Here is a 26728-nt window from a genome sequence, read left to right on the forward strand (position 1 = left end):
AGCAACCCTGCCCACAAATTTAGTAAATACAATATTTAGGTTTTTTGACTTTAATTTCATAGGAACAATACCATTAAAGATAAAAAATTGCGATTTATTCATTTTCATTAATTAATATTCTTATGTTAAGTAAGATCAAAAATCAGTGGACTGGCCAGATATGACCTACTTATTGTTGGGATTAAAATGGGTGGAAAGTCTGGGGAATTAGTATTTACTATAAAAAAATTCCTGCAATGGAAATAAGACCAAGATATTTTGGATAGCTATGATTTTTGTGCTCCTTTTCTAGTATTTGACATCAGAGCCCTTTCAGTTCTCTGTGCTTAAATGAAACAAATAACATTTATTGGTTTGGGGTTATCAAAATTTAACTATTTTCTCTCATTAGAAAGGCAGTATGAGCTTATATGACTCCCACCACCCCTTTTTGGATATATTACAAGTAAGCTTTTTTGAAAATTAGAGATTCTTACTTGTTATTTCGTAAATACACACATGCATACACATGCTCACATACACTCCAGGGAACCTATAATTCAATACAACCTTCTTATTAAGAAAATTTTTCTTATAAATGTTAGTGCTAAATGAGAATTAAATGCATAAGAAATTATTCTTGTAAGATTTATAACTAAATTAATGAGTCCATCATTCTGAATTTAAAAAATGTGAGAGAGCCACAGGTGTAGTTAATCTGGAATTGTATATATGAGAAGTAGGTAATTAGTTATATCTCTTTTTCAGACTTTTTTCTTTGGAGTCTCCTTTACCAAGAGCAAAAAGAATCTTGATAGTGAGATTTCTGTCTATGCTTGTGGCCCTCAGAGAAGCATTTCAATAGATTATTCATCTGTAAAACTGGAATGGGGAGAGAAGATCCTCTGTCAACCTTAAGATGCAAGCTGTGCTATATAATAGTTGAAAGGACACAGAAAAATATTTAGGACAATTAAAGCAAGCTACCATTCTAGACATAGGGATTATAAATAAATTGATTTTGATATTGATGGATTCCATTGCCTCCTACTTCTCTTACATTCTTAAGCCCAGATAGCTGAAACATAGTTGCTGTTTCTATTTAGTTCCCTTGGCAGATAAAGACAAACTGCTATAGTAGTGAATATTAACCGTCCAAAGGAAATGGGAAGAGTTATAGGGATCATTTGATTCAAATATGGATTCTTTCTCTTTATCTGCTGCAAGAACTTAGATAACATGGGCTACTTCTAAAAAACTAATTTTCTTATCTGAAGGATCATTAAGATTAAGTAATATTGTATAAACCAGGATTCTGGTGAGTAGTCATTTTAAAAATACCCCTTTCTTTCTGCTGTCCCCTACTTAACTGGTCCCCTCATTAAATTAATGAAAAAACTAAGAGGTCTATAACAGCTGCAACTTCAGATCATTTGATGACTTTGATCAAGTCATGTAAGTTCTCAGAGTTGCTATTTTGCCAATTTCAAAACCAAGATAATAATAGTTGACACCTGTTCACCATGCTGTGAAGATAGATGTAGTAACATCCATAAAGCAGGCTATAATCTGGGGAAAGACAAGCACCACTTGCAACAAAAGTTATAGCAAGAATAACATTAAAACATATTTATGTTCCAGGTATACCCTAAATAGATTTGGCCACCTGTTGTCCAGGATATATTGACCTCTAATTAAAAACAAATATCTTCCAGTATTCATTAAAGTACATTTTAGCAAATTGTTACTGTTCTGTAAGAGTTTCTCACAGGTTGACAAAGAGCCTTTGGGCAGCAGCACTGGACTATGCTGGCAGGAAAGGGAAACCCTACCAGGATACATTCTGTGCACAATTACCAATCAGCCAGCAGCACTTCTCACTGAGATTTTATAATACTTGCACTGAGCAAACATTAACAACTTTAACCTGGATATTTTGCCAGGATTTTAGATTACACAGTGCCTGACAGCAGTATGTGCCATGTAATATGGCACCATAAGTTTCTTAGTGTTACATTTAAACAGAACAACATTTGTCTTATCTGTTAGTAATATCTGCAAGACCTTTTTACATTAAATTTGGTACTTTAATTTTTCTTAATATCTGTAGAAGGAGTATTAGCAGTATGTTCTTTAAATGCAATTGTTTATTTAAACACTGGAACAAAACAGGTGTATGCAAAAACAAGCTATGTGATTATTAAGGAAGTCAGCATATTTTATGATATGTTTTAAACATTTAAAGATACCTCAGCTACTATTGTTTTTATATGGCTTACTACATGTGGCTTTTTAAATTATGTCTGCGAGTATTTCCCCAAGCCAGATTGGGTGCCTGAACATGTTCTACGGAATGCTAAATGATTCAGTAAAGTCCACGAGCACTCCAAAAAAGTGCTGTCTTTATATTCACAGGAGTGTGGTAGGAGAAAAACATTATCTGAGTGTCTTTCTCTGCATTGAAAAAGAAAGAATAATACAAATGACCTTCTAAATATGTTTGGGGGAAAGTTATTACCTAGTTTATAAAGAGGAAAAACATTTATTTTAAAAGTCAGAGCCAAATAATAACAGAAGTAAAGAAGGCAAAGAAAATTAGAGAAAGAAAAAGAAAAAAAACCAGTATTTCAAGAGAATTCTTTGTGCTTTCAAGAATGGAATCAATTAAAGATACGTATCAGTGATGCACAAAATTCAAACAATGCCCATTTTTCAGTTTCTACTGATTCAAATAGACTTTTAACTTTTTATATAAAAATTGAATGCTATTTTAAAATAAAATGATTTGCCAAAGAGTATGTTTTTCTTTCTTTAGAAAGTGTAATGAAAAGGGCTGGAGAATAAAAAGATCCCTGTTTGGAAGGATGAGCACATTCAGAATTTTAAAGGCTAGCTCATGCTCAGTCTCAGGGAGACAGTGGTGATGGTCTCCCAGTAGGACTTGCTTCTTTTCTCATACCTCCCATCTATCCTTCAAAGAACTCAATATACTCTTCTTAAAGCATGCTGGCTCCTAGTTAGTTTGCAAATAAATGCATTCACGACCTACGATGATCTCATCTCCAGTTTATTTTATGACCTTTTCTCACTGCTCCTTTACACTTATTTGGCTTTCCAGTCAAGTGACCTACTGGTTGAAACATCCCTGTGCTTTCTCACTTCCATTATTTTACTCATATTTCACATGCTGTCTACAAAGTTTTTACTTTGCTGCGACTTTTCTATTTCCACTTGTCAATGTTTGTTATTTCCCCTTTAAATATTACTCTGATTAACTTTGTTCCTTAAGCCACAATTAATTTTACTGTCTTAAATACTCCCATAGCAATGTATGTAGATCTTTCACAGTGCATTGTACCACATTTTCTACCATACATTAACTCATTTATGTAGATGTCGCATATCCTTCATTATTCATATTTTCTTCTATATGTTACATAATCTCTCTGAGATCAGAATTCAATTTGTTGTTACGTCACCTCTGTACATCTACCTCTGAGAGTAAATTACATTTAACGAATATTGTGTAACTCATTTAATAAATACAAAAACGAATATCTTTATCTTAATTCCATTCATTCTTCTTTCATTGGTACAATTTTATATTTTAATTTGTTTACATTTCTTAATATGGTTGATTGGCAATAAAGTTGGTTCAAGGCCTAGAAAGAGGAGATTAAGGAGAGAATGCCATAGGGTAACTATAGAAGGATAGAAAAAGCAGGTTTCAAAACCATCAGTATCCAGGAATTAAGGGACAGATACCAAAACAACAGTTTCATAGCAGGAACAATCTAGTTAAGACACCTCTGCTCAGAGGAAATGGAAAAACAAACCATTTCTACTGAACTCTCAAATACTGAGAAAGGGGCATTGCATTGGTTTAATTGTTCATGGGAGACCTCTATTTGGGAAGGTGTGACTACTGTCTACACTCTGTGCCTGAAAAATTTCTTTCAGTAGTGAAGACATAGTTGCCTTAAAAAAAAAAGGTGGTCCATTGGGAAAGAATAATAAAAATTGTGAAAAAAACCAAACATATATATATATATGATATATATATAATGTATCATGTGGAGACATAAGGTAAAGTGTGGGAGATTATTTTTATAAAATGTAACTAATAGGCATGTTCTTCAAGTGTTTTATTATAGTCCATTGTAATGCATTAGACTAGGGCTGTGTTCACTGCACAAGGGGAATATCTTGCATAGGTAACAACATGATTGCCATAGAATAGCTTTATTCAAAATACCCCCAAATATGATATAATCAGATTTTCTATAATCAGAATTCTGGGTTAGCATATACTCAAAGATGCCAGACTTACTGACTATATGTATAGTATGCTGGACAGTATGGGTTTAAAAATCAAGTATAAGGAGATTTAAGGATATAAATAGTATCAAATTTATGAAGAAGATGAGATACGTGTCTCTACAAAGAGAGACTATGTGACAAAAAAAAGTACACATCTAGTCAAAGTAACAGACTTTACTTGAGTTCTAGGACTGGATGAGCTTAATGGAAAGAGGTCCTACATTGTGTAAAGCAAAATAAAAGCATTTTCCTTTCAGTAGCCACTAGAAATAGCCCTCTCCAGTGTCTTTACCTCAAAAAGAAGTTCAGGCTGTAAATAACAGTAATGACTTATACGTAATTAGACTAACAAACATTCACCGAGTGCCTATTCTTTGTCTTGTAGAAACAAAATTATTGGGCCAGATTCTGAAAAGGTAATGAGGAAAACCAAAGTTTATACCTCTCAGCAGCATTTTTTAAATTCTTAATAAGAGACAGGTAAATGAATGGTTAGACTAATAGTGGTAGAAATCATTATGCCTAGTGGTTTATGAGAACTAGAGAAGGGCTCCCAAGAAGTCAGGGAGAAGGTGGCCTGAATGACTCTTAGAAAGCTGATGATTGAGCTGATATATTGGAGCAGGTTTTAGAGTAATTCAGATGAAGAAGGTATGAAGTGGTTAGGGTTGGAAGGGGGGTAAAGTTGAGTAGAAACTGGAAGTCGAAGATGCACATTTCTTATGTGTTGATAGAATAAAAATAAATTATTCCATATTGTCCCTGAAAATGAGCTAAATTAGTTACAGCCAAAAAAGAAAAAAGGATATCTTTTAAAAGGATAACTCCCATGGCATACATCTTTAGAAAAAGAGGTTTGCCAAAGTAGGAAAGCAATCTGGTTTGTGTCTATCAAAAATAAAACATTTTAAGATATGGAAAATCTGCAGCTGTTGAAAGCACCCTGGGATATGACTGCCTCCTGTCTCCAGAAAATCAATCCCAAAGATAGACTTGTTGCTAGTACAAAAGAATCAGGAACAAATGAGGGGTTGGCATGGTAATCATGGTGGCATCTCTAGATCTGTACACATGGCCAAATGGTGGTTTTCTATTCTTTCAAGCCATACTGTGATCTTTGAAACTTTTCTTCTAAATTGGTTATCTAGGTAGATAGCTCATGACAAACTTTCTTTAGCTTTATTTTGTTTGGATTATCAACTAAGGCTTCTCAGCCTAAATTTAAGACAGAATTATCTCCATTAATAAAAAAAATGATGTTAAGACAATCACTCCTTTGTGTTTGAAGCAGTCAAGTTGAAAGAAAAACACTCATATATAAACACAAAAGGAGTTGGCTTCACTAGAATTGAACTTGGAAGAAGTTGCAGCATTATTAATTTATGTCTTATAGCAATACCATCACCCCTACTCTGAATTTTTCAGTGAATCCATGCCAGAACTTCTCTGACAGGTAGTCAACTGACTTCTCTTTGATTGGTTATTTTCCTCTCAGATGATAGCCTATTTTGTGTTTGGGCCACTTTAATTGTTAGGAAATCCTTCCATATATTGCTAGCAACTGTCATCTGTTGAACCTAGCCTGTAATGTCTTGTCCATTGTTTAATTGTTGTCCTGCATGTAGACACTTTTAATGCTTACACATAGCAAACGTGTTCCATAATTTCATCCTACTCAGGCTAAACAACTAGTCTTTTCAAATATTTCTCATGTGACATCATATGTGTTCTTTCTCCTCACTTTCCTTAGTAAGAATATGCTACATTTTCTGTATGTTTTTATTAAAATTCAAGAACATCTGAGAATCTTACTCATCTGAGATATGTATTAATAGTGTCCTTAATAATTTAGAGACCCTATTAAATTTGGGAAGGAACAAAGATATGAAATCTTCTTTTATAAGTATTGCTTTACCGAAGTTGTAATCTTCAATAATCTAATAAACCAAATCTTTACCCAATCATTTGCACTTTCAAGTAAGGGTTTTCATTTGTTGACAGGACTTAAATTTTAATACCTTTTTCTCATTTCCTTAAGTTGTTTAGGGTTCACATGTAAGGAAATGCCTCCTTGATGATTGGGGTTCTGTATAATACAGCAGAAAACTCAGTTCTCAGAGAAAGCTGTAAGTGTAAATCCCTGTTTTGACATGTTGTAGCTCTGTGGCCTACAAATAGCTGTTAACCTTTCTGATTCTTAATGGTTGTATCTACGAAGTAAAGACAACTTTTAAGGAGTTAAGCAAAGATTAAATGAGATTATGAATGCAAGATATCAAGAATAGATAGTACCTTGTTCACAGGGAATGCTCTAGGAATGTTAGCAACATTGAGGGAAGAACAATGCATTCACATCTAATTTAACAATCAAGACATATTTTCTAGATGTGATAAGCAATAAGACCCTTAAAACCTAATATGTCTTGCTTAAAATTACACAGCTTCTTAACATAAGAAACAAAATAATAACCCTAATCCTCTGTTTTGTCTTTCTTTCAATGATACCAGTTATTATTATACATAAATGCATATTTCTATTGCTGTGAACAAATTTCAGTCTAAGAAAAGTATTGAAAAGAATTATATATATGCTATTGTACCAAATATTCTCTCAGTTTTATTTCAAAATACCTCTCTGCAATAAAAATGTAAGATACTACTGTCGTAAAAACATAAATAGCGTTTTACTTATTAATATGAGCACAGCACTAAATTAGAGCTTGTTGGTAGCAAATGCTGGAAGTAAGGATAGCAAATGAAAGATTATAAATGATTTCCTTGTGTCTTAGCCAGACCTTTCAGTTAGAACATTCCAGAATTATGGAGTGTGTGTGTGTGTGTGTGTGTGTGTGTGTGTGTGTGTGTATGTATATATTTTTTTTTTTTTTTTGAGACAGGGTTCCACTCTTCTTGCCCAGGCTGGAGTGCAGAGTGCAATGGCGCGATCTCAGCTCATGGCAACCTCTACCTCCCAGGTTCAAGCGATTCTCTTGCCTCAGCCTCCCGAGTAGCTGGGATTACAGACATGCGCCACTACGCCCGACTAATTTTGTATTTTTAATAGAGATGGGGTTTCTCCATGTTGGTCAGGCAGGTCTCAAATTCCCGACCTCAAGTGATCCCTCCTCCTCGGCCTCCCAAAGTGCTGGGATTACAGGCGTGAGCCACCACACCCGGCTGATAATTATATTTTTTAAATGATCTTTATTTATCCTTTAGTGACGGAGGTTTGAGAATGAAAATTACTTACAGACAGTTTTTAATTATCTCCATATTCCAAAGTTATAATCACTAAAAATATGGATGCAGGAAATAAGCACTTTCTCTCATATTTTGTTTATGACGTTCTCCTGCTCACACTGCCTAACAGCTTTTCTGTTATGTTTTAGTTTATCAGGTTTTAGTGACATCCTTGCCACCAATTAGCCATGTTACATCTAAGGTTAGTTAGCTGCAAAGATGTATCTCTATCACTCACTTTAGGTATACTTCCCTATGTGTAAAATATTGATAATTTCTTCCCTAAATATTCTATGAGAATATAAAAAAGCTCAAATATAGTAGAAAATGAGTTATAGAGACCACGTTCAAGGTGCCAGTTATACCTATCAGTTGAATAAACTGTAAATCCCTTAACCGAATGGAGCCTCTTTTTCTTCATCTATCAAAGGAGGAGTTGAACTAGATCTTTAAAAACTCTTACATAGTAAAGCCTAAGGTAAAAAATAGAATGTGTACATATTTCTTAATATGCGTATTAAGAAGTTATATATATAATGTGTATATATTTCTTAATGTACATTAAGAGATCCTTAAATATTGTGTATATAAAATTGTGTGCATATATACACAATATAAGGATGTATTATAAGATATATACACATTATATATTTATTATACATTCTATATAAATTGTGTATATACACACAATATTATAAGGATTTCTTTCCATATGCTTTCATTGTCTAATAATAACAGATACACTTGGAGTTTTCATAAAATACGTTCACCTTATGATAAAAGTTAATATATGGTAGTAACTGTACTTTAGAAATATATAGATTAACATCAATATGATACTTTATTCTAGAAAATATATTAACTGTTTAGAACCATTGGTATGGCATGGTATGCCATACATGGTATGACATGGTAAAAAGAACATGAAATGTGGAATAGAAGCCAAGTTTGAGTAAAATTTCTATATTCACTTAACCACCTCAAGAGTTTTCCTTCTTCTGTAAAATGGGCCCAAATGAGTACTTGCTGTTAGAAGAATTTGATGGAGTCAAAATTATGACACCTTTCTAGGGAAAAAGCCCTGTTTAACAGCTAGTCTTATTCAATGTTTTACATGGATGGATGTTCAGAGCCTGATGTCCTTCCTTCCTACATTCCTCTGTCATAACATCCACTCCTGAAATAAAGACCAGAAGAGTCATGTGAGCACAAGGTACTGAGGAATTCAAACTGGGTAAGGTTAAAAATTCCTAGCTGGAATAATCCACAGAATATACAAGCCACATCTTAGAAAGTGAAATTTAGAGAAGTTGTACACATTGCCCTCAAATCGAGTAGTTTGTGAGGGCTTCTCACCAAATAAATATATGGCTTTTTTTTTTTCTTGCTTGCCAGTCTTAGTGTTGTTTTAAAATTTTAGATGGGCCTTTTCTCTCCATCTGGTAGGTGACATGTGCTGTTACATTTTAATAGTGTCCTATAAATCCAAAGCAGAGGAAACTTTAATGATGAGATAAGGAAAATAAATGCATTCACACACAGAGTGGTGGCCACTTCCTTTTCTGAATTCAGAGTTCCGTTTTGCACTGTGATCAGCTCTGGTGAGCATCAAGTGTATTAGGTAACCCTTCTCTCCTGCCCATGAAGACAATATTTTCAATATTAAAGACCATTAGGGAGAAAAACTGAGATCATTTACGATGTTGTGACTGGCAGTCATTTATCCAGCTTAGGGACTTTGAAATTTTAAGAGGGAAACACAGTATTTCTCAGCAATAAGAGACACAGCATGGCCAACTTGAGTGGATGCCCACAGGTGAAGAAATATTCTCTCTGCAGCAGTGCTATCTGTTACCAGGACACTGACACATGGGAAATTCAGGCTGAGCCATTATAGGAACCACAGAGGATGACTTGAGCTTATTGAATATTATGTCTGCACAGTGACAAGTTATCCAAATGGCATTAATTCGACTTTAGTGCTCAGAGGATGTTGAATTACAAATTAAACCTGTTCTATTGTTCTAAGTTTACTAAGAGGTCGTGAAGAATTTGGCATACCAACAGTATCACTAAAGACACCATTTTCAGGAATTTCAGGACATCTTGGAAGGCTGCCTGCATAACCGCATAACCTCTTTTTTTTTTTTTTTTTTTTTTGAGACAGAGTCTTGCTCAGTCGCCCACACTGGAGAGCGGTGGTGTGATCTCAGCTCACTGCAACCTGCGTCTTCCAGGTTCAAGCGATTATCCTGCCTCAGCCTCCAAGTAGCTGGGACTACAGGTGCCTGCTGCTACCACCACCTGCCTACACCTGTAATCCCAGCTACTCGGGAGGCTGAGGCAGGAGAATCACTTGAACCTGAGAGGCAGAGGTTGCAGTGAGCCAAGATGGCGCCACTTCAATCCAGCCTAGGTGACAGAGTGAGACCCTGTCCAAAAAAAAAACATTGTTTTTTAACTATAAATGCATGAAAAAGTCTTAATTTGTTTTAATTTACTAAATCTTTCTAAATTGTAGCATTCATTTACAAGTTATTGAACTCATTAAGTGCCACATATGTGCTGAGTATTGGAGATGTGATAATGATTAAAACACAGTCTCCATTTCTCAAAAATGACAATATATTATTGAAAAATGCTAGGAGAGTGGATGTTGTTTTCCCACCACAAAAATAACAAGGGGAAGAATCAATTTTGATGAAAGATAATAATTTAAGTTTTGGAACATCTGAAAAATTATAAAATTTCCTGAGCTTCGTTTATTTAAAAAATGACAGAATTTATGATCTCCAAATCCACTCTTGTCGGTATAGAATCATTTTGTCTATGTGCTTTTTTCCTACTAAATGTGGCCTAATTTTAGTTTCCAATGTAACCATGTTTACATTGAAGTAAATCTATTGGCACTAGTCTTCCCATTCTGAAAAATAATTTATCATCCAGGCCTCAGCTTGGCTTGGAAATTGCATTTTTGTGAGTGAGATAGTTTCATTCTCCTTTCAAAGGGAATCAGTGGTTTGTGAAGCATCTATAGATAGGTAAATATTGAACACATATTTTTTGCTGGATAGAAATATTCCAATGAGAAAAGCATATTCCTTTCCAACTAATCAATTTTCTTTGAGAAGTGTATGTAATACTTAATTCCCTATATATGACCAGCTAAGCACTGACATTCTATGGCTTGTATCGCAAGGTATTTTTAAAAACCTTAATGCCTATAATATAGCTGACATTCTTTTAAGAATCAAAAGACCCATCTATTGAGATCAGTTGCTTGAATTTTCATCACCAAGATGCATCTTTCCTTTTCTGTCAGATCTTCGTGTGCTGTAAGCTTTGGTTGGTGGACTTTGAAGAGGTGCCATACTGAATGACTCACTATAGTTATAAAGCTGTCTCTTTTCCCTGTCCCTTTTCTGTTAACAGGAATTGTATAATCACTCTATTTTATTTTCTTTATCTTTGTAAGTCTAAAAGGGACTAGTACTTACTATGTAAAATCACAGTGTAAATTTTCTTTATAAATTCTCCCTTTCAACAATACAGAAGCTCAAAGACAACAATGGTTTTATCTACCTTATGTGTCTCTCCTCCCAACACAGAGAACAATTCCTAGCATATCATAAATCTTGTTAATCCTTTGTTAAATGAATGAAAGAATACAGGAATGGGCGAAATGTCAAGTTCATTTCCGAGATTTTATTTTGTTTTCTTTTTAACTTATTATTTTAAATAATTTCAGACCTAGAGAAGAGTTTCAAATATAATGAAGTATCTCACATACCCTTCACCCTAATTCTCTAAATATTACTAACGTATACAACCAGAGTACAAATATCAAAATCAGGAAATTTAATTGATAACAATTCTATTACATAATCTATAGGCCTACTAAAACTTACCAAATGGTCTTACTAATTTTCTTTTACTAATATAAGATCTATTTTAGGACCCAGATTGAATTCAGTTTGTTATGTTTTCCTGATTTCTTCCAATCTGAGACAGCCCTCAGACTTTGTTTACATTGATAACTTTGACACCTTTAAAAAATACTGACTAGTTATTTTTTTACATGTTTTACCAGTTTGGGTTTGTCTGATGTTGTCTCATGTTTACATTGAGATTCTGCATTTTGGAGTAGGTTGCCCTATGAATGATGTTACATTTTTCTTAGTACGTTGCATTGGGCAATACATGATGTTGAAATTTCTTATTATTTATGATGTTAATTTTGATCACTTACTTAAGACAGTTGGTATAAATCACGTTTTTCCTCTGTAACATTACAATTTTTTTCAGTATAATCAACAATTATCTTGGGAAATATACTTTAAAACAATAAAAATATTCTTTTATCTCATTATTAATATATACTTGCTCCCTAATTTTAGCATTCCTTGATAAATCTTTCCTACAATAAATATTACTCTGCTGTCTGCCACATGATAATTTCCATCAGTATTTCTACACTTGTCAGTTTGAATTCTAATATGAATAGGGCTGTTTCTTTACCTCATTTATTTATCCATTTATTTATGTCATATAGACTTACTAATGTTTATTTTAGTTAATGACTTTTAATCTATTACTATACTTATTTATTTAGTTCCAGTTGTCCCAGATTTGAACCCTGGCTTCTGTGTAATTTCAACATGACTTCATCATTTTTAAAGCACTTTCTTACCTTCTGGCACCACAAGATATTTAAGACTCATATTGTATTTGCCCTGCCCCACTCCTGGAATCTGCCTATTTCTCCCAGGAGTTCTCATTTCTGTTATGTAATAGTGACACTAACAAGCGAACGCTGTAAGTGCCATCATGGCTACCCAGGTGTCACTTTTTCTGAATCCCCTCACTGGACATAGCTAGGAGATATATGCACTATTCACACAGAAATGCACACCTTTATATTAGATATACACATATTTTAACTATTTCCATAGCTGTTATTTTATTTGTAAATTTTTTCTTGTATAGTGAGTTATACACAATATATTTACGTTTTTTTAAAATATACAATCCACATTGTTTCAGAAATGTTAAACTGTATTCTTGTGAAAAATAAATTAACCAACTAGGGTACAGTATTTGTGTACAGATATTTTGATTTTCTGTAAAAATTCTGTTTCTAGAATTCATTTTATTTCTTCTACATTTCTAATCAGGTTAAGACAGGTATGCAAATACATGCATATGTAGTCAATTTAAGGTTATTTGTTAGCATTTGTATTCCATTTTGCCCTCTTTTTCTTCCTGGTTGATATTATCTAATTTATTTTGGGGGTATGTGAAACTTTATTAGAGTTTGAAAAGTAAAATATAAAAAATGTGTAATTAGAGATGTATCACTGTCCCCTGTCTCTTCTTAACTGGTTCCATTTCCCTATTTGTTTTACCCCTTCACAGTCTATGCCTTGTAGGTAGCATATCTCATTTCTGAGTTTTCCTTCCTCTCCCTATATATCTTTATTTTTATATGCATGTATATGCTTCTTTTTACATATGAGGAAACAGAAACACTATTTTGCACTTAATTTTTTTAAATTTAACAATATGTGCTAAAAACTACTTGTCTAAGTTCATAAAGACCTTCCTCCTCCATTTGAATGGCTGCTTAATACTCCAATGTGTGCATGTACCTTAGTTTATTCAACCACTCTCTTGGATTTCTGGGTCAAATGGACAAGTGCTTGTGTAGTTTCAGAATTTTTCACTAGAAGGATTGTATCAGGTTATATTCCCAACAGCAATGTGTGAGAATGCCTATTTACTCACAGCATTACAACAGAATATGCTGTCACTTTAATTTTTGACAATCTAGTGTGAAAAAAATAATGTCTCAATGATTTTTTCACTTGCATTTTTAAAAACTATGAGTTTTAATATCTTTTCAGGACCATTAACAAAAGTCCTTCCAAAATATTTTTTTTTTAATGGGGAATAAAGGACAAAAGCATGATGGAAAAATGAGAAAAGTCATGAATAGACAATCCACACACAAAAAAAGATTAAATAAGTTCCATACCTCAAGTAATTAAAACTGCTCTGTTTTTCTATTCATATACCAGTACCATATTATTTTAATTAGAGTCTTTATAGTATGCTATGAAATCTGGTTTATCTGTTTTAATATTCTAATTTCTGGTTTTATCTTTTCAGCATTTTACTGGCTGGTCTTGCCTATTTGTTTATTCATGTGAACTTTTGAACCAACTTATCTAACAGCATACAAAGTCTGCTTTATATTCTTTCAGAATTTTATTAAATTTACAAATCAACTTAGAGATAACATCTTCTTACAGTGAGAATCTCTAACCAAAACCAGGGATGTGTTACTATTTGTTAATGCCTACTTTTGAATTTTTCAGAAACACTTTTAAGTTTTCAAAAGTTTTTATGTTTCATTTGTAATTCATCTACTTCATCAAATGAATCAATATTTCCTTTCAGCTCATTATATTTTCATATTCTGTGAGTTGCATGAGTACCCAAGAAGTTGTATTCTTCATTATTATGGTGTAACATTTGACATACCTCTAAGATCTGTCCAACTGATTATATTTTTTAGGCTAGAATTCCACTTTATTTACCCTCAGAATCATTACCAATGCTCTCTTATCTCTTTCACACACCTTATTCATTCCTTTATTTTTAGCCTTTTTAATGCACTTTGCTTTAGGTTTATCTCTCGTGTGCAGTGCATAGTTGAGCCTTGATTTGTAAGTCAAATGGAAGAATGTGTCTTTTAATGGATAAACTAAGCCCTTTAACCTTTATTTGTATGACTGATTTTTCTGATCTCAACTGTGTCACACCATGTTTAAATTATGTATATTGTGTTATATTTTTTACGTTTCTCTAGAAGATGCGTATCCTTTGCTCTATAATTCACAAACACTTTTTTGAAGATATTTAAGGAGTTTTGTTTTTTTGTTCTAGTGCTATTAGTTGTACATCTTTTTAATGTTCTTAGCTTCCTGGTAGCTTATTTTATGTTAAACTAGCTATTTTGCTCATTTTTAAAATTAGTTTTTATTTTTTCTGCATGCATCAATCATCCACTAGTGTTATTTAATGTAAGCATTTAACTTTCAGTTATTGACTAACAAATGAGTTTATTCTTTCCCCCTTTTCTCTCTTACTCCTCTTATATTTTACTAGTATTGTATCTATTTTGTAACAATTTATAATATTTTTACATATAATATTTTGTAGATACTAACTCTTCAAAATAAATTGCCAAGAATACACAAGTAGAAAGTATGTCCACTATCTTTGAGTTTTTTATTTTTGACTTTTAAGGTGTTTTTCTCTAACCTCAATTATAATATTTTTCATAATTCTCCTTCATATGTATGTGCTATATCAGACATAGTTCTGTGAATACAGAGGTCTTATCTTCTGTATCCTCGGAGCCCCTCAGTAATTGTTTAGTGCAATCAATATTAGTAGTAACTTTTACAAAGACCATAAGAGTGGTTTGAAATAATTTTACTGACAGTGACAATTATTTTATCCACACAGTAGTCTTCCATTTGTTCCAGTTTAGAATCCTTGTTGTTGCCTCCTGTCTAACCAAAAATATTTTGTGAATTCCAGTTTCAAAGTTCTACTAAATAGATAGTTTTAATTACTGATTCCGAAACCAAATTTTAAACTTTGACTCCATGTTAAACTGGTGTACTGAAAAGAAGCTTTTCAGATGAGAATCTAGTTCCAAAATTTGTGTGCTTCAGAGATTTTGGAGAAAAGTAACCTTCTGGCCTTTTTAAAAATCATAAAGACTGAAATGAGAACACTTGTGAAAGTTCTTTCATTTCAAAGTTTTATGTCCACATATATTTCTTTGGATTTTTCAGTCTGGGGATGCCAAACTCATTTTGCCTGTCAAGATACATTTTATCTCTCAAGTTTCAAGTAACACCTTTACAAAGTGAATATAATGGTAATATATGCCCCTCTTTGCTTCTGGTGATATGGCAGCAATGAAAGTTCACTTAAAGAGTGTTTATAAATTATTGAATAGCTGCTCCATCTACCACACTACATTAATGTGAGATTACATTTCATAACGTGAAAGTGTTTTGGAAATGGCTAAATGATATCCAAATGTGATTGTCACTGATTTGTAAGTCAGTTTAGATGAATGACACAGTCTTCATCATGCCAGCGTCACAAATTTTATACCATAAATTTTATTCACTATTCAATGTCATAAAACAAGAAATTTCGTTTTTGAAACCTGGCCTGTCCATTGCTAGCTGATGTACAGATCCTGTGGAACACATGCAAACACATACACACAGAAAGGATAGAGAGAAAATGTTAAATTACAATAAAGTAACCTTAAACAAAAATAAATTCAAGCCATAATTTAATTTACCAGTCTTTTAACTTAATTCCGGGACTGACATTTATCTAGTACACAAAAGCAATATTATTATCGTTGGTAAGTGTTGAAATTTTTCTATGGCAATTTTAAATAGCTTCTGTGCTGAGCTCCCCAAGAGCCTGTACACCATCCTGATCCTCCATCCCTAGAACTCCCATCATCTAGCTCCCAACTATTAGTCCCTGAATGAGCAGGGTCTTTGTGGATCTTGCTTCAGTGCTGTGGCACTGTTCTCATTGATTGGTGCTTTAAGTATTTTCTCTCTCACATTTCCCTATCTCTTTAAGGCAAAAGATGAATGGATGAATGAGATTTCCTCTCCAGCTTCTGTTAGCTCTCATCCACAGGATTCACTTTTAGAGACTAGCAGCAGCAGACCGACCACTGCAATATGCTTTGACTTGGCCACTTCCCAGTTCCTCCAGTTTGAGAATACTTTCCTGTATCCTTCATCTGTTTTCATCCCTCATTCAGTTTAGTCATTGCCTCTTCTTGAATGTTTCTGCTGATGCTCTGGCATATCTGAATGACCCATCTATATGTTCTCCTGGCACCATGTTTTTACATCATATCTTCATTTTACACTGTAATCACCTAATTCCTTGTATGTCTTTCTTTCTGGATTCACATTCCTTAGGCAAGGGCTTTGTTGTCTTGTGTTCAGTATATAATGTCATAAATAAAAGAATAGATACAGTTGATATGATGAGGTTAAGTACATATCAGACCCTCTGATAAGCTCTTTCTAAATTTTATCTTTTTAAATCATTGTTTTACAGACAAAATACAAATTCAGTGAGAAAAAAATAACCTACTTGAGTGCACACTGCCTGAAGTTGAACTAGCATCTGCCTGAATGTAATACTCTTATCCTACCAGCAATACCACGCTTCCTATCTACTGACTTGTAAACATGTCATTTCCCATTTAGCATCTAGGGCACTGGGCACATAATCCATACTGGATTTAAAAAAAACAGAATTAAAAACTGGCTGGTGTTTAAAATTATCTGTCAATAGTTACAATTCCAAGACCCTCACTCTTGAAAGCATTGTACTTTTATATTCACTTACTTTCTCTCCCTTTGTGTAAATTGAATAATCTTCTGTTTAAGTGTAGCTCTTTTAAAGTATTTTTAAATTTCCAGTCTAACACAGAAGGATTACATAATAGTGTGGTATGCTATCTTTTTTCTCTTCTTAATGAAACACTGTCTTCAAAATATGTGTCTTTTGCTTGTCTTAACGTGAAATTTGTGAAAAAAATAGTGAATTAATATTGTGGGATTTTTTTGTAGTCTCTTTGCTTATGGTATTTCTTATGCCTTCTCTAAAGAGGTCATTTGTGAATACAATAAAGACCTCCTAATACACACTAAGCAGGTAGGTGTGTTGGTTGGGATACAGTAGATTTTTTTCCAAGAGCTAGTAGTCACAGACAAATTTGGGGCAAGTTATTTAATCTTGCTGAGAATTCAGTTTCCTCATTAGTTAAGAAACTATAGGACTAACAATGTCTACCTCCAACAATCGGCACAGAGCCTAAGTGAGAAAATATTTGACATAGCTTATGAAAAGCAGTAAGCTGCAATCATTGTTCATCTTTTCTCTGTTCTTCACTTTTTAATGGAGCCTTATTCCAGTCCTGAAATAATTGTATGTGATCATTTTTCCTTAATTATTTCCTCAACATATATAAAATTGTTCTAAAATACATGGATTAAAATTGAGAGAAAGAGAGGTATTGTTTTGCAATAAGTGTCAGTTGTGCTTGGGACATATATTGTCATCAATTTCCATTCCAATCTGAAGAATTTGGACTAAATGCTGCATCTCTTTACTAGTGATATATTTAAAAAGGGATAAGAAGTAAAATCCTAATTTGAGTATACTGTAGAATATAAATATACTAAATCAGAGAGAAGAATATTTATAAAATACACAAAGGTTTAAAAAATTTATCAAAATAAAAGTTACTTGAACTGAATAAAGCCAGAGTTTGGTGACTCTAGTGCTAGCTAGAATGTTTTAAACGTTTGATTTTTATTTTTCCTTTTCTTTCCATTTGGTTGGTAAGTCACAGACTCATATAAAAACACGCTATGATATAACGTGTTAGTCTTTAGTATAAACAGCTGTAATGAAGAGCTGTAATGACTTAAGAAACAATTTTCCCTATATCCCTCCAGTGTAAAGTAAGGGAAGATAAGTGCCATGTGGTTTAGGATTGGTCCTTGTGACCACCGCTATATCTCTAGCCTCATGAATAGAGCCTGGCACATGGTAGGTTTGAAATGAATGTTTGTCAAATGTCATTTTATATTCATCCATTTGTTAATGTCCTAATACAGCAATGGCTGAAGTTAAAATTTGTAGAGGAATAACTCCTGAAATTTTGTAACTATTTAAAATTTAAAAAGTATGCTCAGAATTATTATCTGATCTCATTTTAGGAATATCAATCAGTTGAGGTACATGAAACAGACAGTATTATTTCAAGTTTATTGAGAAGAAAACTGATGGCCAGAGACTTGAAATTCACTTTAATGGTTCTCAAAGTTTGAAAAAGATAATTATAACTTCCAAGTGAAGCCTCTGAATTACAATCTACAAATTTCCTTCCTTCCTCCCTTCCCCCCTTTTTCCTCCTCCTATTCCTGTTCCTTTTATCCTCCTCCTCCTCCACCATCCTCCTCTTCTTCTTCCTCCTCCTTCTGCAGCTGCTGCTTCTTCTCCTTCTCCTTCTCTGTATTCTCTTCTCTTCTCTCTTCTCTTCTTTTTCTTCTTTTTCTTCTTCTTCTTCTTCTTCTTCTTCTTCTTCTTCTTCTTCTTCTTCTTCTTCTTCTTCTTCTTCCTCTTCCTCTTCTTCTTCCTCTTCTTCTTCATCTCCTCCTTCTCCTCCTTCTCCTCCTTCTTCTTTTTCTTCCTCTTCCTCTTCTTATTCTTCTTCTTCTTCCTCTTCTCCTTCTCCTTCTTCCTCTTCTATCTTCTTCTTCTCTCCTCTCTCTCTCTCTTTCTCTTTCATCTTGTAATAAGTGAGTGAGTGTCATTTAAACACTAAGCTTGGTTCTGAAGATTTAAAAATTTAAAAAAACATCAACTTATTATTGTCATTGCCCTCAAGGGCTCACGGTCTTCTCACAGATACAGATACGTAAAATACCAGTATAAATGTATGAAACTTCCAGATAAAGACGGCATGTTGAACAAACTTTTATTTTTTATTTACCAAAAACAAATAAAAGTGTTATTAAAGGAATAAAAATATATAGACACTTATAATTGCAAAGGAAATGAGGTAGAATAACAGCATGCATAATAGTCTGTTATTTAAGTCAGGAAGAACAATTAATAATTCCTAATTCAAAGCAGAGGAAGTCACAACTCAGCATGTTCACAGATAAGGATCCAGAAAATAGGAAAGTGGATTGTTCATTCACACACTGTAGAGGCTAAGACTTAGACACCAAATGCCACACAGTAAGGAGAAGGAAACAAGGTTGAACGCACAGGAACTATTCAAAATTCTGTATCTGGCACTGTACTCCTTTGTATAATACTCCTTTTAATAAAGACAGAAGACACCAGAGTATACATAAATGGTGTGTTAGGTATTGTAGACTGTACTACCTCTGTACTCTTGTTCAACTCTCCTCTTCTCTTTTGCTTCCACTATTGGGGCATGAAAAATTATTCACCCTTCTAGCCTCTAATGCAGTTTCAATAACCATGCATGAAATAAATTTGGTCAACATGACCAAAGTAGAATTCTGTGGGAGGCCTCTAAGAGGTATAATTTATGAAGCTGCAGCTGCATATTGATATTATGAGGTAAAGGCCAAAATAATTGAGAAATAGCCCATGACATTGCTAAGCTACTAAACCAATGACATCAACCACTAATTCCAGAGTTTCTGTTGTGTGAAAAAAAAAATAAAATAAAAATTTTAAGACAGTAATAGTTGCATTGTTATTTGCAAACAAACATAACCAATGATGGCATATGCATATGCATGGAGGTACTAGAGGCTGAAAGATGTATTCGTCTGTTCTCATGCTGCTAGTAAACACATACTTGAGACTGGGTAATTTATAAAGGAAAGAAGTTTAATTGACTCGCAGTTCCACATCACTGGGGAGGCCTTTCAATCATGGTGGAAGTTGAATGAGGAGCAAAGTCATGTCTTACATGGTGGCAGGCAAGAGAGTGCGTGGAGGGGAACTCTCCTTTGTAAAACCATCAGATCTCATGAGACTTATTCACCATCATGAGAACAGCATAGGAAAGACCTGCTCCCATGATAAAATTACCTCTCACCGAGTCCCTCCCATGATACATTGTAGCTCCAAATTATAGGAGATACAATTCAAGATGAGATTTGGGTGAGGACAAAGCCAAACCATATCATTCCACCCCTGGCCTCTCCCAAATCTCATGTCCTCACATTTCAAAATCAATCATGCCTTCCCTTCAGTCCCCCAAAGTCTTAACTCATTTCAGCATTAACTGAAAGGTCTATAGTTCAAAGTCTCATCTGAGAGAAGGGAAATTCCTAAAGTTTATGAGCCTGTAAAATCAAAAGCAATTTAGATACTTTCTAGATACATTGAGGGTATAGACATTGGGTAAATACAGCTGTTCCAAATGGGAGAAATTGACCAAAACCAAAGGACTACAGACCTCATGCAAGTCCAAAATACAGCAAGGCCGTCAAATTGTAAAGCTCCAAAATGACCTTCTTTGACTCTATGTCTCACATCCAGGTCATGTTGATGCAAGTGGTGGGTTGCCGTTACCTTGGGCAGCTCTGCCCTGTGGCTTTGCAGGGTACAGCACCTCTCCTGGTTGCTTTCATGGGCTGGCATTGAGCGTCGTCAGCTTTTCCAGGCACACAGTGAAAGCTCTTGGTGGGTCTACGATTCTGGGGTCTAGAGGATGGTGGCACTCTTCTCACAGCGCTACTATGCAGTGCCCCAGTGGGGACTCTGTATGGGGCCTCACACCCCACATTTTTCTTCTGTACTGCCTTAGCAGCAGTTCTCCATGAGGGCTCTGCCCCAGTAGCACACATCTGCTTGGGCATTGAAATCTAGGCAGAAGTTCCCCAACCTCAATTCTTAACTTCTGTGGACCTGCAGGCCCAATGCCACATGTTAGCCACCAAGCCTTAGGGCTTTCACTCTCTGAAAAAAATGGCCTGAGCTGTACGTTGGCCCCTTGTAGTCATGGCTGCGATGCAGGGCACCAAGTCCCAAGACTCCATAAAGCAGTAAGGTACTGGGCCCGGACCACAAAACCATTTATTCCTCCTAGGCCTCCCAGCTTGTGATGGCGGGGGCTGCCGTGAAGACCTGTGACATTCCCTGGAGATATGTTCCCCATTGTTAATCCCTCGGTGATTAACATCTGGCTTCTCTTTACTGATGCCAATTTCTGCAGCTGGCTCCAATTTCTCTGCAGAAAATGAGTTTTTCTTTTCTGTTGCATCTTCAGGCTGCAAATTTTCTGACCTTTTATACTCTGCTTCCCTTCTCCTTCCCTTTTAAACATAAGTTCCAATTCCAAACCACATCTTGTGAATACATAAAACTGAATGCTTTTGACAGTACCCAAGTTACATCTTGAATGCTTTGCTGCTTAGAAATTTCTTCCGCCAGATGCCCTAAATAATCTCTTAAGTTAAAAGTTCCACAGATCTACAGGACAGGAGCAAAATGCCACCAGTCTCTTTGCTAAAACATAGCAAGAGTCACCTTTATTCCAGTTCCAAACAAGTTTCTCATCTTCACCTGAGACCACCTTAGTCTCAACTTTATTGTCCACATCACTATCAGCATTTTGGTCAAAGCCATTCAACCAGTCTCTAGGATGTTCCAAACTTTTCCACATTTTTCTATCTTCTTCTGAGCCCTCCAAAATGTTCCAAACTCTGTCTGTTACCCAGTTCCAAAGTTGCTTTCAGATTTTTGGGTATCTTTACAGCAGCACCCACTCTACCGGTACCAATTTACTGTATTAGTCTGTTCTCACACTGCTAATAAATACATGCGTGAGACTAGGTAATTTATAAAGGGAATAGGTTTAATTGACTCACAGTTCCATGTTGCTGAGGAGGCCTCACAATAATGGTGGAAAGCAAATGAGGAACAAAGTCATGTCTTACTTGGTGGCAGGCAAGAGAGCTTGTTGAGGAGAACTCCCCCTTATAAAACCATCAGATCTCACAAGACTTAGTCACTATCATGAGACCAGCATGGAAAAGACCCACCTTCATTATTCAATTACCTCCCACCTGGTCCCTCCCACAACATGTGGGAATCATAGGAGCTACAATTCAAGATGAGATTTGGGTGGGAACATAGAAAATTCATATCAAAAGAAAAAGTAAAAATATATTGGCTGAGGGCAGTGGCTCATGCCTGTAATCCCAGCACTTTGGGAAGCAGAGGAGGGTGGATTACCTGAGGTCAGGAGTTTGAGACCAGACTGGCCAACATGGTGAAAACCTGTCTCTACTAAAAAAAAAAAAAAAAAAAAAAAAAATTAACTGGGTATGGTGGCAGGTGTCTGTAATCCCAGCTACTCGGGAGGCTGAGGAACGAGAATCACTTGAAACCAGGAGGTGGAAGTTGCCGTGAGCCGAGATCACACTGCTGCACTCCAACCTGGGAGCTAGAACAAGACTCAGTCTCTCTCTCTCTCTCTCATATATATATATATATGTATATATATATATATATATATATACACATATCTCATATATATGTCTCTGTTATATATACATATATTTTTATATATATTATATATATTATATATATATATATATATATATATATATATATATATAACAGAGACAAGGGTCAATGTGTCAAAACACTGAGGTTTTGAAATTTCAGATTGCAAGTGAAGTAAGACATTTTCTACCGGGACAGGTAGAAGATATTAGCATGGGTATAGATTCATATAAGAGGATGGCAAGTAAGGAGGGGTAAACTATTGAGAAATATCTTGCCTAAAACTTTAGTTTTCTCTATGAGGTAAGATGTGAGGTCATCTATTAATTCTGTGTTTAAACGTGTGTGATTTTGCTTATGATTGTTTGCTGAAAGATTGAGTATTCTAAGAAGTAATAAAGATTAAAGTAAAAGTTGAAGTGAATTAGAATTGTAACTAACTGAAATAGTACAGATAGATTCTACACAAATTGGGGTCTCAGCTGTAGTTTGAAATGTGACCTAACAGCAGTGTTTCTCCATGGCTTTTCATCCCCTAGTTAAACTTTTTAAGTATGTTTTCTCCATAAAATTGTAATGTTTTGATATTCTCATTATGATTTGATATATCATTAATGTTTTGATATACTCACTATACAAATTTTAATGTCTTGGTAGACTCATTTTTATGTTTTGATATACAAAATTAATGTTTGATATACTCAACTTTCTCTTTTAGAGGTCAAAAAACCATTACAATATCTCAATTTTTTGTCCTTCCTTCCCCCCAACCGAATAATCAATTTTCAACCTTTTGAAATAAATGATTATTTAGAGGAAGAGTTTTCTTACTTGGCCCCCACCAAAAACTGGTGAAAGGTTACTGAACTATTATATCCTCTTATTGTTGCCATAATGGCAACATGGTGTAGTGATAGAAACATGACTTTGGAATCACAAAGGCAGACATGTTTCTTTATCCTGTTTACTCATTTACTTCCTGTTTGAACTTGGGTACTTTGCTTCACTTTTATGATCTTCATCTGTGATCACATATAAAGTTTCTAGCATGTAGTTTTTAAAAATTAACAGATGGCATTTTTGATGTTTTTATGCTTTTGCTTTATTGAAAAAGTAATTGAAAAAATGAGTTAATAGATTAAAATTTTAAAAATGTCAACACGTGAAATATAGTGATGAGGAAAAGAAAATAAGCAGTAAAAGTAATAGAGATGGAACAACTAGTTGTGTTAAGAGTGAGATGCTGGAGTATAATATTTCATATATGAAGCATTTTGTGTTAAGGACAAAGCCTAGGCATATATGTGAGTATAGTTTGCTGGAGTGGATTTTCAGGCCCTTGAAGACATTAATTAAGAGACATTAATATGGAGGTATAAAGTAGGTGGTCAACATGGATATTAAAATCATCCAAGACCAGGAACAAAGACTCAGTATAGAGAGTGACCAGCAGATAGCAGATGACATCATTAAGTTGACAGAGAGAAACTTAGCAAGATAACACAAGATTTACAATGAAAAGCTTTTCATGCATGAGAAGGTGGAAGCAGAGTGAACACGAAGCAATATTAAGACCTGGAAAATACTGATGTTTCTTCCATTTGGTGGCATTATGGTATGTGGGGAGAGGACAAATCAAAGGTAAAGAGCAAGTTTTATAACTCAAATGCGATGTACAACCCACATACTAGGTTTCTAACATCACACAAGTTATTAAGGTCTTCTGAGTCTCAGGTTATATAAAATTGGAATAATAATGTCAAACTCAGGGAATTATTATTCTGATAAATGTAACACTATCAATGAAATGCTGAGTAAAGGACTGGGCACTGGTGATCCTTCAAAAAAGTGGCGGCTATTTCTATTTTTAACCTCTGCTGGGAAAACATGAAAAGATGTGGTCTTGGGGAAAGGCGATGTTGCAGTTAAGATAAAGAGTAGTCGAAAAGAGACTATAAGAAATTTGAGAACTGCCATTGCAGCATCCTGTGGCAATAACCTATGATATAAAACACTGACTTATAAGTGGGAGAAAACAGCTAAAGCTACTTCTCAGATGTGAAGTCTTAAAACAGATCCCCAGTTGCAATTCCACAGTATATCACAATTGCATTTTCCCCCTTCAGACATTTTACCAATAGCTTCTACTGCTATGCTTCCTGGTAGACCTTTATCAATGAGGAAGTAACCTTTTATCCAGCTACAGAATGAGACAGGAGGGCAGCAATCAATGAAACTTACAGGTTTTGTAAATGACACAGCCATTTTCACAGTTTCTAAAGTCCTGAACTTGACTCAATTATTTGTAGAGTAACGACAAATGTGAAAATACTACACCATTCATATAATAATGGCAATGAAATTTCCTGATACAGATAAAAGATAACTTTTTGTTAGATCTAATTATGTTTACATGAATTAAAAGCTATGATATTGAATATGTACTCATACTTGTCATGACTAACAATTCAAGCCTTGACTCAAAGTACAACTTGGTGTGTGGAAAAGACCATAGGGACTACTTACCATGTCATTACATGTGCTATATAGAAGTTTGTTACAGGACCTTAATTTTTATTGGTCTGCTGAAACAGGAATTTGTTTTTATATCCAAATTTGAGATATATAATTTTCTATCATTTAATGTGAAAATGATATATCCCACATACTATATCCTATAAGTATACATTCATTTTATCTTAGAGCCAAATAATCACCTTTTAGAATAAAATCAAATTTGTATTTTAGTTTAAATGCATTTTGTCAATTTTACTACCACGTTTTGACAAAAATTTCCAAAAGCAATCTGTTCTCTGAGAAGCACAGACTCATAGACCTGAATTAAATAAAGTTTGGGAACTTTTGGACTCTTATGTTTTTCAATATACACAAAAGGAGAAAGATGAGAAATCAGCATTTTGGTAGATACAAATGACAATGTAAGGCACCATTTTAAAGCATTCTTAATGAACATCTTCTAGTATACAGAGACTACAGACAGGTGCTCCAATGTATACGAAATATGTGAAATTTTATCTGATAATTATTTTTAAATAATACTTAATGCTTTAGAGGAGACATAAGCAAAATCAAACAGTTGTCATGATGGCAAGATGTAACCATGAAAAGTTCCCTGAATATTGGAGAGAAGTGTCCACAAAATGAAGAAAGTTTTTAAGACATGTAATAATAAAAAAGGTTTTATTGCAGCCAGAGTCATATTGCAAGCAAGAAATTCAATGTAGAAAAAAATTTAAAAACCACAAATAGTAAAGCTTAAACATAGGAAAGCTTGAGTCTGATGATATTACGGAGCAACAAAAATGATGCTAGCAGTAACACACATCATTATTTCTCACCGCATGAGGAAGTAATACCCCTATATGTGAAGACTCTGGTGGTTGGGCTTTTGGTCTCTTACAAATAAAACACTTTCCTAATTTCTACAACCACCTGTTACTTTGAAAATCAAGTATAAAATATTCAGCTCAGTTTTCGATCCTTTTTTTTTTTTGGTCCCATTTATTTTTTGTTGCCTCATCACACTTGTGCTCAATCTAGTTACTCTGAGCTTAATGATAAACAAGAGGAGCCTACATTTGTCCCACTCTTCCTTTGTGCCTAGCTAAGATCTTAAGGGAGGTCCCATATATTCATTGTAGCAACCTTAAGAATACCGTGCTATTGTTGTACATAGTTTATACATTGCTGTGTTCTGAAGTTTGTGTCAGCTCCAAAATTTATATGTGGAAAATTAATTACCAAAGTGATGGTATTAGAAGATGAGGCCTTTGGGAGGTGATTAGATCATTAGGGCCTCACCCTCATGAATGGCATTAATATCTTATAACAGAGGCTTCACGAAGTGTTCGCTCCTTTTGCCTTCTGTTCCTTCAGCCATGTGAGAACATAGCATTCTGTCCCTCTGGAGGACACAGTGTTCCCGGTGCCATGTTGGAAGCAGAGACTGGACTTTTACCAGACACCAAATCTGCCAGAATCTTGATCTTGAACATAACAGCCACAAGAACTGTGAGAATTAAATTTCCATGAT

Source organism: Homo sapiens, chromosome 11 (genome assembly GCF_000001405.40).
Source record: "Homo sapiens chromosome 11, GRCh38.p14 Primary Assembly".
NCBI lineage: Eukaryota > Metazoa > Chordata > Mammalia > Primates > Hominidae > Homo > Homo sapiens.